Genomic DNA, 13788 nt, shown 5'->3' with positions numbered 1-13788 from the left:
TCTTACTTAACCAATAGATTATTTAGAAGTTGGTGTTCAATTTCCAAATATTTGGTTTTATTTTTTAGATTTTATATTGTCTTCTATATATAAAAAACAGCTTAAAAATGAAATGACGGACAAAGGCATTTAAGTAGTTTAAAATTTTTTGTAACTTGCTGTATGGTCCAGCACATGACCTGACTTGGTAAATGTTCGTGCGCACATGAAAATAAGAGGTATTACACAGTTGTTTTGTGTGGTATTCTGTTTATGCAAACTAAGTCAACTTGATTGATAGTGTCATTCAAATATATAGTCTTTTTCTTTTTTTCATCTACTTGTTCTATTAATTTGCCATAAAGACATGTTAAAATCTCAAACTACGATTGTGCATTTATCTACTTCTCTTTAATTCTCTCCATTTTTGCTTCATGTATACTGAAGTTGTTATTAATAATATACACATTTAAAATGATGTCTTCCTATTAAATTGACCCATTGGTCTTTATGGGATGTCCCTGAATATCTCTGGTGCATTTTGTCTTGAAATCTGCTTTGTCTGATGCTAATATAGCCACAACAGTTTTCTTATGATTAGGGTTTGAATAGTGTGCCTTTGTCTGTCATTTTATCTTTTTTTGTTTGTTTGTTTTTTGAGATGGAGTCTCGCTCTGTCACCTAGGCTGGAGTGCAATGCTGTGATCTCAGCTCACTGCAACCTCTGCCTCCCGGGCGATTCTCCTGCCTTAGCCTCCTGAGTAGCTGGGATTACAGGTGCCCACCACCACGCCCGGCTAATTTTTGTATTTTTAATAGAGATGTGGTTTCACCATCTTGGTCAGGCTGGTCTCGAACTCCTGACCTCATGATCTGCAGGCCTCAGCCTCCCAAAGTGCTGGAATTACAGGCGTGAGCTACTGCGCCTGGCCCCTTTCATTTTATCTTTAAACTGTTTTGTAATATTTAAGATATAGCTCTGTAGGTTATCATATAGTTAGGTACATTCCCCCCTCATTATGTGCGTAATATACATATACTGATGCTCCTTGTCTTACGATGTGTTACATCTCAATAAACCCATTATAAATTGAAAATATTGTAAGTGAAAAATGCATTTAATACACCTAACCTAATGAACATCATAGTTTAGCTTAGTCTAGCTTAAAAGTGCTCAGAACACTTACATTCACTTATATTAGCCCACAGCTGGTCAAAATCATCTAATACATGGCCTATTTTATAATAAAGTGTTGAGTATCTCATGTAGTTTATTGAATAATCTACTGAAAGTTAAAAACAGAATGGTCGTATAGATACTCAAAGTATGGTTTCTGCTGAATCTGCATCACTTTCATACCTCTGCAAAGTCAAAACATTATAAACTGAACCATCGTTAAGTCAGGGATCATCTGTGTGTGTGTGTGTGTGTGTGTGTGTGTGTCTGTCTGTCTGTCTGTCTATTTGTGTATATCTTCAGCCTGACAATCTCTGCCTTTTAACGGGAGTATTTTAAACTCTATTTTTTTAGTGGTTGTCTGGGAATTTCAATATGTATCTATATTATAGCAAGTTTTGAATTCATACTTCACCATATTATTTTACTTTTTGTTTACTAAAAGAGCTTTGTTCACTATTTTGTTTTAAATTAACACAATCTTTGTACGTATTTAGTGGGTACAATATAAATTTTGATACATGTATACATTGTGTAATGATCAAATCATGTTTTTTGGTATATCCACCACCTAAAACATCTATCATTTCTTTGTGGTGAGAACACTCAGAATCTTCTCTTTTAGTTACCTTGAAATATACACTGTTGTTTACTATTGTCACCCCTGCTATGCTATAGAACACCAGAACTTATTTCTCCTAACTGTAACTTTGTACCCATTGACCACACCATTTTATTTTAATGTAAGAATTTTAAAATTATATATTTCCAATTGTTTCCTTTGTTCTTTGTGTTATTGATTTTATATATTACACTTGTTCATAAATTATAAGATTCATGTTTATATTGTTATTTTTGCTTATAATAGCCTTTTACAAAGAGTAAGAAGCATAAAGAATCTTTATATATACCTATGTATTTATTATTTCTTTCAACTTTCTTTTAAGCTATGTTTCTTTCTGAAATAATTTTTCTTTATACTGAAAAATTTACCTTATCATGTCTTATAGTGCAGCTTCTACTAGTGACAGATTCTCTCAGCCATTGTTTATGGGCTGTGTCTTTATTTTACACTCACTTTTAAAGGAGGATGTTTTCACTGACTGTATAACTCTACACTGTGAACATGTTTTCCGAGTACTTTAAAGATTGTGTTCCTTTATGTTCTGGCTTAAGTTGTTTATGTGCAGTCAGACATCATTCTTATGGTTGTTCCTCTCTATATTATGTGGAAATAAATGAAAATCAACAAATGAGAAGAGGCAAAGTCTATTTATTCAGGGCTTGGTATAACAAGGGAGTCAGCCACCATCACGTTTTCATTTGTCAGAGACTGAAAGGCAAGTAGAGATGTGGTGAAACTTTATAGTGTAAAAAAGGCAAGGCGGGCCGGGCGCGGTGGCTCACGCCTGTAATCCCAGCACTTTGGGAGGCCGAGGCGGGCGGATCACGAGGTCAGGATATCGAGACCATGGTGAAACCCCGTCTCTACTAAAAATACAAAAAATTAGCTGGGCGCAGTGGCAGGCACCTGTAGTCCCAGCTACTGGGGAGGCTGAGGCAGGAGAATGGCGTGAACCCGGAAGGCGGAGCTTTCAGTGAGCCGGGATTGCGCCAATGCACTCCAGCCTGGGCGACTGAGCGAGACTCCGTCTCAAAAACAAAACAAAACAAAACAAGGCAAGGCTACAGGTATGCTCTAATTGAAGACTGTTGGCATAGCGAAGCTGGAGGTGGGCTACCTAGAACTGGGGTATCTTATATGATTAGTGAGGGATGCATAGGACTTTCTCTGGTTGGTCCTAAGTTGGAGGCAGGACTAAAATTAGGAGATCTGTCTGTTATTAATCAAGTCTTAGCCATTTGGGACCAATTATTTCAGATGTTTTTGTTTGATTTTGTGAAATGGTTGCTAGAGATAGTGGTCTGACTTCATACAAGTCTGACATGGAAAGTAAGCTGGCTTCCTGAGCGGGTTACTGTGGATAATGGGTTGGTTTTCTGGACTGGTTGCTGCGATTGTGGGTTTGTGTATTTAGTCTCTCAGTCATGTTCATTTTGTCTCTCTTCTTTTAAAATTTTATTTTCTCTTTGGTTTTCATCAGTTTGCCTATGATATGCCTAAATGCATTAAAAAAAATTCTGCTTAGTGTTTGTTGAGCTTCTTAGATCTATGGGTTGATATTTTTCATCAGTTTTGTTAATTTTTCAGTTTTCTTTCTAGAAATTATCCGTCTTATTTTCTCTCTTCTCCTCTTTTGAGATTCTAATTACATAATTGTATGTGTATTTTTGAAGTTTATGCCACAGGTCACTGACCATCTGTTTTCCACTTGATTTTACAATCTTTTTTCTCATGTTTTAGTTTAGATAATTCCTTTTCACTTGATTTTAAATCCACTTATTCATTCTTTACCCATGTCCAATCTTTTGTAAAAGGGATCCAATGAATTTTAATTTCAGACACTTTTTTCTACAACTCCATAATTTCCATTTGGTGTTTTCTTAGAGTTTCTAATTTTCCAACTAAATATCCCATTATTTAATCCACTATATCCATATTTTGTTGTCAATTGTTTCACACATCAATAATGGTTATTTTAAAGCCCAGACATGTTAATTTCAATAACTGAGTTATACATGGGTCTTATTCTTTTTATTTTGCTTTACCTTTATTATGGATAATTTTTTCCTTCATGTATCTTTTAGAGTTTTATTGTATTCTGAGTATTGCTATAAAAGAATGATTAAATAATAATATTTTATTGTTTTTGTTTATTTCCCAGATAATAAATCCCTTTTCTTTCACCATAGTTTTAATAATATTGAGTTCATCTTTGAGTTGCCAAACCTCTAATCTCCCAGACATAGCTTTTTAAATCTAGTCAGTACTTGAACTGAGAGGATGTTGTATTGCAATTCCAGATATGGTTATTCACTATTTAGTTTAAATTGGAAAAGCTTTTGGAATACAATTACTGTGAGGATGCTCAGAAATAAGCAATTCTCTGCCAGGCGCGGTGGCTTATGCCTGTAATCCCAGCACTTTGGGAGGCCGAGGTGGGTGGACATGAGGTCAGCAGATCGAGAACATCCTGGCCAAGATGGTGAAACCCTGTCTCTACTAAACATACGAAAATTAGCTGGGCGTGGTGGCACGAGCCTGTAATCCCAGCCACTCAGGAGGCTGAAGCAGGAGAATTGCTAGAACCAGGGAGTTGGAGGTTGCAGTGAGCCAAGCTCGCGCCACTGCACTCCAGCCTGGCGACGGAGTGAGACTCTGTCTCAAAAAAATAAAAAATTAAAAAATTAAAAAATTTTAAAAAAAGAAATAAGCAATTCTCTTAGCATTGTTCCTCCTTCACTGCTGCTGTTTTCATGTTACAATTTAGGGAGGAAGAATTAGTTGACACACTAAGATATTTGTCTTTATATTTGGGGCTATTTTCCATTTTTTAACCATTTTGCCACAGTGAACTGTCACCTAGTCTTGGCTGATTTCCCCAGCCCTGCAAAGCCTCTCCCTCTGTAGCAGGTCTGCTTCTCCATTATTCATGCACATTAATGCCCACTTCATGTATGGAAGCCTAAGAGGGTCTTTGCTCACCTCCTAATTTTCCTCCCACCTCACTGGCTTTTCTTTCTCATTTTCTTTCTTAATTTTTTCTCATTTCTCCCATCTCTTTACTTTGCAGTGCCTTGTGGCTTCATCTTTGGATGGTTTTTGTTGTTTTATATACAATCACTCTCTTGATGATATTGTCTAGACACATCTTTAACTACTGCCTATGCACTGATGACTCATGTTTATATCTCCAAACCAGACCCACCCCCCAAACCAGGCTTATATACCCAACAGGATATTTGACAGTACCATTCAGGCACAAAATTAAAAAAAATAAACACATCCCAAACTGAGCTTATCTCTTTCACTAAATAAATAAATAAAATAAAACCTACTCCACCTGCAGTCCTTTCCTTCTCAAAGGCAACTCCATCCTCCCAGATGCTCCGACCAAAAGACTTGGATTTATAACTCCCATTTTTCTTGAATACATATCATTCTGTGCATCAGAAGACTCTTATGTTTGTTCCTTCTGCCTTCATAATGTACCTAAAATCTGAACACTTTTCTCCACTTTCGAGTCTCTACCCTAGTCCAAACCATCTCATCATTTGCCTGGTTTATTAAAGTAGCCTCATACCTGATCTCCTTGCTTCTACTCTTGTATTTTTTCCTATCCTACAGTAGATTCTAAGCCCGATGATTCTTTTAAGACTGGAGTCAGATCACATGGCTTTTTTTACTCAAAGCCCTTTCAGGGTTTCTCATCTCTTAGTGTAAAATTTAAAGTCCTGTAAATGGCATAGCTACAACAGCCTCCCTGCTGCTCCTCAAACATGCCAGGAATACACTGACTTCAGAGTTCTTTTTGATCATTGGTACTTTTGCCTAAAATTCTTTTATCTACTACATTTCTTGCCCCATTGCCTTTTTCAAGAGTTTGCTCAAATATAATATTCCAAGTGAAATCTTCTATGATTGCTTTCTTTAAATCGCAAATCCTGTACACCACCTCCATTTTATGTTCTCTATAACACATCTTTTCTTCTATCTATATAACTTACTTTAGTATTTTGTTTATTTTCTTTTTTCACCCATTGGAATATAAGTAGGATGAAAAAATATATTTTCTATTTTCTGTATGCTTTATCCATAGAATAATGCCTGACGTATAAAGGTATTTTTAAATGTGTTAATACATTAGTGGCTGATTCTTTATTAGTCAGCTATTGAGTTGTATTACCAACGAGTCTAAAGATGAAGAGCCTTCTTTGTTTTATAGTAATTCCTGACTTCTTTCTGATTATTCTTTTACATTAATTATATATAGAGTTTTGGAATTATTGTTAGAGATAGAATAGAAAAAGCCAACACAATTTTCTTGAACAAAGGTTAAATGTTATCTTAGGAAAGGAACATACACTTATACTTCAGTGTTGTTTTTTTTTTTTTTAGAAGAAAAGCTTTGGAAATAAGAAACTTTTCAAATATAATAAATTAAAATATTTTGTTTCATAGACAGTTTTGGAATACTTTAGTACTGATTTGACATGCAAGCTTTCTACTAGCCACTACATGCTGCTTTGAAAGGTTGGGGTGTACAGTGTAAACATATTTGAACATTCAAGTTCTATGTAAATAGTTCAATATTGTTTGTAACAGATCTCCAGAATATTTTCTCTTCATAGCAAATTTAAGGCTATATTGTAGTAATATTTTAAGCAGCTGTGAAGACTCTTAAATAATTGGACACAGAAAAATTAAGAGTAGCTGCTCACAATTTAAGAATGGACATAAGAAACTTTCTATTTTAATGTAATAAAATGATAGCATCTCTTGAGAGTTGTTTGATAATTCTCAAGTGAATGAATCATCTGTAATAAAGAATGACTGTTTTACCATATAACTTTGCAGAAAAGAAAATGATATTTCAAGTTTGCCTTCTAAATTAAATTATTTATACCTATTATTTTTTAAAACTTACACAGAAATTACATTGAATCACTGCATATAAATTCCCAAAACAAATTTAAATTTTTATTTTTGTTGTTAGAATATATACTTCAAATCAATCCTGTGAACCTGCTTATAATTTTTGAGATTAACAATCCCCAAGTCAAATTCGTAAGGGTTATATTTTGAAAAGCTATACAGATATTTAAAACCTCTCAAAGTATAATAACTATATGCCATTTATTGGCAAAGATTTGAAATTTCGACTTCCTTTTTATAATAGACAAAAATCTCCTCTAATATTCAGCCGAAGTCCTCAACTAAACCAAAGAAACAGGTGTTTTGAAAATTCTTAGAAATCAATTACTTAGCATTTAATCTCTTATCAAAAGTTTTTATGTACCTGTAATGAGACTATGTAGTTAATAGATTATTCAAAGTTTTAAAAGTTATTATACTATGTACTAGTGAGTAGACATAGATTTGCATGATTTATAATAAAAAAATAAAATGAAGCTTCACTACAATTTCTGTGCATTTTGTAATGTAATGACAGAGAAATCCATTTAAAAATGTTTTGTGTGGGGTGGGGCTCATTTGCATGCCAGAATCCTTACTAGTAGCACAATTGATTTAAAACATTCTGCATTTTAGCCTTAAAAAATGAAGCATTGCTTTACATGAAATTATTGGGTAGTTACTTTTACAATACTTCATCTTTCTCTCTTTTAGTCTCTAAATTGTAGAATGCACTGTGACATCATTTTAACTTCAATAGGCAGGTAGGGAGGATGCATTTAACCGAAAGGGTAATGGAAACCAGTTTATGTGAGGGTTAATAAGCTCTTACTGGTTCTTAGTTTCTTTAACATTTTAACCTCCAGAGAAAATTAATAAATATTAAGTGTCAAAGGGGCTACACAATCAAATGAATTTATGAGATGATTGGGGATCCTTGAGAGAATAAACTAAATTATATGTGTGTATTCTCTTTCAAGCATTTGCTATCTCTTCTAGGCTGGATTTCTATGCTAGTTTCTAAACAAGACTAAGCTCCTTTCTCTGCTAAAGGACGTAGTGATATCATTATCTAACCCTTTTTATTCAAGTTGACTGCCTGTTTTTATTGAATTGCTTTAATAAATCCAAAACATTTCTATAGATTGTTTCTATAGATTATGCAAGTAACTATTGTATATTTTTCTTTTTTGGCATAAAAACAAGACACATATGATGTGTGTGTGTGTGTGTGTGTGTGTGTGTGTGTGTTAAAAAATACCATAGGGAATAAAACTCATGGTTTTTGAAATTTTTATGCATTACAGTAATTATAGTAAGCTCCTTTAGATAGAAAATATAGAACATACTTGTAAGATTTGCAAGACTTAAGTCAACTGTATCAATTTTGGGGATACTAATCATACATAAAGACAAACCACAGAACTTTGTGTAATGATTGACTTACATTGCTATAATACAACTGAATTATGTGTCATAGAGAGTACTACTATTAACTACTGCATATTTATTTATCATTTTAGAATTTCAAAGGGTAGTTTTCATAATAATAATAATCTATGAGCATAAATTGGTATTTCATAACTTGGAATGCATGCTAATCTATCAGGATAAACTGTACCATAGTATATGATCCTTAAAGAACAGTTCCCCTTTTTAATGATTAGATGTAGATTCTGCAATTTCTCTGATACTATTTCAGACGAACTTCTGAATGGAGGGTACAGGGCCCAAGGTTTTTATAATGTTGTAGTAAATGTGGAGGAGGAAAAGGACATGTGCTCTGAGGCTGCATACAATCTCAGACAATACAACGAGTACAACTGCAGTATTATTTGCATAGGGTATTGATGGCAATCCTTTGTTGTAGCTTTCATTTTTCTTTATTCCTTGACCTGCTTCATTAAATTTCAGCAAATAAGAAAACTTGGCTAAGGATAGATTGTTTAGTCCTGTGGTCCCTGCTTCACTTTCCTTGGACTCATTCTATCTTTCAATAATGCTCACCTTGCACCAATAAACGAGTCAGAATGCTTTGTGTTTCATAAGTGACAATATGCCAATTGTATTCTGTAGGTTATATTTGATTTCATATGATGGTCTTTGTAGTCTCATAATTGTTAATTATTTCTAAACACAAGAACCACTCAATTATACCAGTCAGTGTGTGGCAAGGAAAAATAAATGTCAGCTTCCAACTTCATAAATAGAGTTAATTGTTTTCTCTAGAGTGGTGTAATCATAATAAAAGCACTTTTGTAGAACTCCTAGGATGTGTTCTTTTAAGCAATATAATATCACCTTGAGAGAAAATAATCTATCTTTAATGTAATATTCAGTGATATACTACTGATATAGTTTATATATTTATTAATTATTATCATATAACAAAGCAACACATAATATCTGGAAACAATAATGTTTGTTTATATTTTTGTTTCACATCATGATTTATAAAGAGAATGTACAGACATTATTTTATTTGGTCCTAACAAAAATTCTTTAAGATCAACAGAGGGTTGGTTATGTTCACTTAACAGATAGGAAAGCTCAGATTTGAAGTGCTGACTTGTGTCCAATAACACATTTTAAGTGCAAGAGCGAAAACCTCACGTACTTCATTTTAATACTGAATATTTATTCTTCTACATTGCAATTTCTGTTGTCAGAGATTGTAAAATTTTTATTAAATAATTTTGATTAATTATAGTCCCTAAAACATATATTTTAGGGGTAAGATGGAGTGCAAATGGAAGGGGAAAATAAGATAATTAGTGGATATTAAGTAATGGGATGATAAGGACTGAAAATTCCACTTAATTTATTTTGGAAAAGCAAAATATTTGCCCAACACATATTCCTATAAGGGAGTACTTGTGTTGAGACCTTTGGCTCAGTGGTTCTACATTGCTGCTGCTGATTTCAGGGCTGCTGTCCATTTGGCTTTATTTCCCATAGTCTGATCACTCCTGTTGGATCAAGTCAAGAGATAGCTGTGGTTTCTCTTCTCCATTTACTTCATTTGGGTTCAGTTTTTCATCTTTCATCCATACCTCACCCAGCAATGAGTGATTGAGGAATGAGTGAGATGTAAAAAATATCAAAGGTAAATCACTCTTCTCTACCTTTTCAGAAGCAAGGGTTCAATGCTAATAGAAAAGACAATATAGCATCCATAAGTAAATTCTCCCGTAATTCTATGATATAAAGTTGATTGAATGATTAATGGCATTATATTTGACAAATTTGAAAATGTCCAACCAGTTCTGTATATTAGCAACGTTTTTGGTTTGGGATTTTCATTTACTTCAAATATTCAAGACATTTTATTCTGGATATAGATAGTTTCTTATATGAATATGCACTATGGCTTTCTATCTGCTAGTATAAAAGTCCAAGTGGCTTTCTTCTATGACAATAGCTATAGACATATTTTCCATCTACCTGCCTATTTTTATTTTGATATACAAAAAAGTTGGACATTTGAGTAAAATTGAATATGTTATTCTATTTTTAAAAGTCATATAACCCCTTCTTTAACACATTCTGCATTCAAACCAGATTAAATTTATTTCTTAGAAATTTTGAAAATTTCAAATGGGGAATGGAATGGAAATGGCAGGCATTATTGCTGCTGCATGTTATACACTTATGAAGAAAGGGTCATACTGTACTTCTTTAGCTAATTTATAAATTCCAGAAGAGGTTCGGCAACTTCCCCTCCTTGTCCCTTAGGTGAAGCTCAGATATTTGAGATCTAATTATTCAGTACTAAATGAGATCTAGCATTATTCAGTGTTACATTTCTGGTTATCTGAAGTATATAACTAATATCTCTTATTATGTCTCTTCTACCAAATTTTTACAGCCCCTTTTCTTCTTTTGTTCCTTTGAGTCTTTCTGTTAATTATTAACAGCACAAACTTTGATATTTGGCATCTTTTAAAAAAAAACTTTTTTTTTAAAGTTCAGTGGTACACTTGCAGAATGTGCAGGTTTGTTACGTCGGTGAACAGAATACCAAATACGGCATGTTCTCATTGGGCATTTCTTATTTTGAGTCTTCAATTGCTTCCTTTGACCATTTCCCTTAGCTTGCCAAGTCTTATCTTTACCTCACTTTTATCTGTGCTCCTGCTATATATTTTTTCCTATCTTGGTAGGCTTAACGTCTCTCTCAGTATATGTCATTCTGAATAATACACAGTTATTTCCTTTGGTAATTGAAGAAAGAGGTAGTTCCTGATAACATGACTAGAGGAGTGTAGCAACTATGATAAATATTGTTAACTGCCTACTGACTGTTCAATCATTCTGGATATTAAAAGAAATACAATAGATATTTAAGACGTGATCCCTTTATCTCAATTAGTTTATAATATTATGAATAAAAATATTGCCCAATATAAAAATAAACAGTAAATATTATAATAAACTGACTATATTTTATTGTCTTTCATTTATTCGTGGTTCTTAGGAGTTATTACTCCACCATTTAGGAGTTATTACTCCACCAGTGTGGAATTAATGAAAACAACAAGGTCGTCCTTCCTGAGCCAACTTTATAATCAACACAGTAGTGTCATTCAAGCTATGTTGTATATGTGCCTTGAAAGAATGTGTTTAGCTTGACTATTGGTTGACCTTTTAGGTAATATTTTAAAGCCCTGGCCACCATCCCATAAGCTCATTTTGTGTACATGATATTTTTCTGAAGGGCTCTGAAACTGTCTCAACTTATAATCACAGTAATGAGTATTATAATAGATTAACAGATTAACAGTGATCTTCTTTCCCCATATAATTAGGTCTACAGGATTTGCATATTGTCAATAACACCTCATTATATTTTTCTTACCCACTGTATGTGGAAGAGTATCATTAAGAATAATGTATTCCTTCAACACTAATTCAGCAAATATCTTTCATATATCTATGATGAACTGATAACTAAGCCAAATACATGTATATAAACCTAGATTTTAACTATGTTCTCTCTTACATTTTTATATCTTATAACATTTAAGTGAGTGCTACATGATAATATAAGGCTGTTTTTGTTTTATATAAACCTTGGGGTTTCTTTTTCTATAAAACTCACACTCTTAGGGCGTGTCAGCGTCAGACATTTCTCTAAGTAATTTTGAAGTTCTATCTTCTGAAGAAAAAATGCTGAATGTCTGAGAAATACCTTTGTGACTTGCACTACATCAAGCAGCAAGGCAGGAATGATGTCTTTGTGCATTTACATAGCACTTTTATTTTTAAGAGGTCAGGGAATTTCATATGGATGATCTTTTTCACCCAGATTTTCCTTCTGCAGTAGTTGCCAAAACATAGAGGAATGAAATTTATTGCCTCAGGTTATGTAGTCCTTCTTAGGCACCACATGTGAACTTTCTCTAAGTCCTGGTTTTCTTTACAGTGTTGTCTCACAGATTTGTCCATTTCCTCCTAAAATGAATGAATTAATTCAAACAACAAGTATTGAGCATCCACTGTTACTAGACACTGTTCTAGGTAGTTGGGAGAAATCAATGAACAAAACAGGATAAAAAACAAAACAAGATCAAGCAAAGCAACCCTTTCTTTGTCCTCCTGAAACTTATATTTCAATAATGGGAAGAAGGGTGTGGGGAAGACAGAAAATAAACACCACCCATTAATAACATACAGTATTTTAATAAGAAATAAATGCAATGGAAAAATAAAGTAATTATGAGGAAGTTAGGCCATGTGGTTGGGATATGTAAATAAGTTAAGCCAGTTGATTCAGAAATGATTTAAGTTCCCAACCATATAAAGCAATATCATTAAAAACTAGTTCAAAATTGAAAGAGTAAACACAATCCTGTGTTTACATATTCAAATGGAGAATAATTAAATTTATTAATTCAATCAGTAGACATTCATTAATGACCACTTGGTAGAAAGTGCTGTTCCAGGGACTGTGAGTATGGGGGTGGATATAGTGTAGATTCACTCTCAAGCTGTTCAGAGACTGGGGGACAGGATATTATAATTACTTATTGCTAATTAAAAATAACCATCCAAAAGCATAGCCCTTTAAAACAATAACCACTTTAGTATCTCTTGTGATTCTGTGAGTTGACACAGCTTAGCTGGTGATGCTTCTGCTTCTCCCAGTGTTGGTGGGAGCTGTAGTCCTCCGAGGACTTGACTTGCCCGGACTGTCAGAGGTGGCTCACTCAATGACCGATGCTCTGGTGGGGGAAGGCTGGAAGGCTCATCTCGGTAATGAATTTGGGATACTAGACCATTTGGGTCTGTTTCTCTCCGGGTGTCAGAGCCTCTTCCTCTTCATGCGACCTCTCCCTACATGGTCTCTGCACATGGTTTCTCCAGCAGATAGTGAGACATTTACTTGGTGGCTCAGTGGTACAAAAAGTGCTAAAGAACTTGACAGACCTTCCCAAGAGTTAGTTCCAGAACTTACACAGGGTCATTTCCTCTATATTCTACTGGTTAAAGGGAGTCCCAGACCAGACCACTCCAGATTTAGGGAGGTTATTTCACAAGGAGAAAGTTATGGGTTTCACAGATTATTTGAAGCCATTTTTGGAAGCTAGTGATCCCAAGCGACAGTGTTTACAATATACACAAGGTACTGTGGAAACCCTGAAGAAGATAATCTATCAATCTGGGTGCATTCAGGTGAGGCTTCCAAGAGCAAAAGGATGCTGAGCTAGACATTAAGAAAAAAAATCAGAATTAACCAGTCAGTGAGGAACAGGATATGCCAGGAAGAGAAACAGCATGAGACATATACAGGACATGGCATCAGAAGAGAGTGTGGTGTGTCCAGAGAACTTCCAGTTATTTAATATGAGAGTGAGGTATAAATCCTTTCAGTAAATGCTGAGAAAGAAGGCTGCATAAGACAAAACTTTGAATCGGGGGTATTTTATAAAATGAAGACAGTACTCTCACAGAGAGTTGGTCTGAGGACTAAATTATGTCAAGTATCTGGCACATATAAACTAAGCATGTGTATATATATATATATATATATATATATATATATATGTATATCTATCTATCTCTCTATATATATGTGTGATTTTTAACATTTTTT

General features: G+C 34.0%; 1 protein-coding gene across 31 annotated transcripts in view; it reads left to right on the top strand.

Annotated features, from left to right (window-relative positions):
* The window catches only part of NOL4 (nucleolar protein 4), a 373814-nt gene that overhangs the window by 152052 nt on the left and 207974 nt on the right, over positions 1–13788 (top strand). The gene's annotated exons all lie outside the window — the stretch shown is intronic.

This window comes from Homo sapiens, chromosome 18 (assembly GCF_000001405.40).
Source record: "Homo sapiens chromosome 18, GRCh38.p14 Primary Assembly".
Classification (NCBI taxonomy): Eukaryota; Metazoa; Chordata; class Mammalia; order Primates; family Hominidae; genus Homo; species Homo sapiens.
This window is presented reverse-complemented; position numbering and strand designations above follow the sequence as displayed.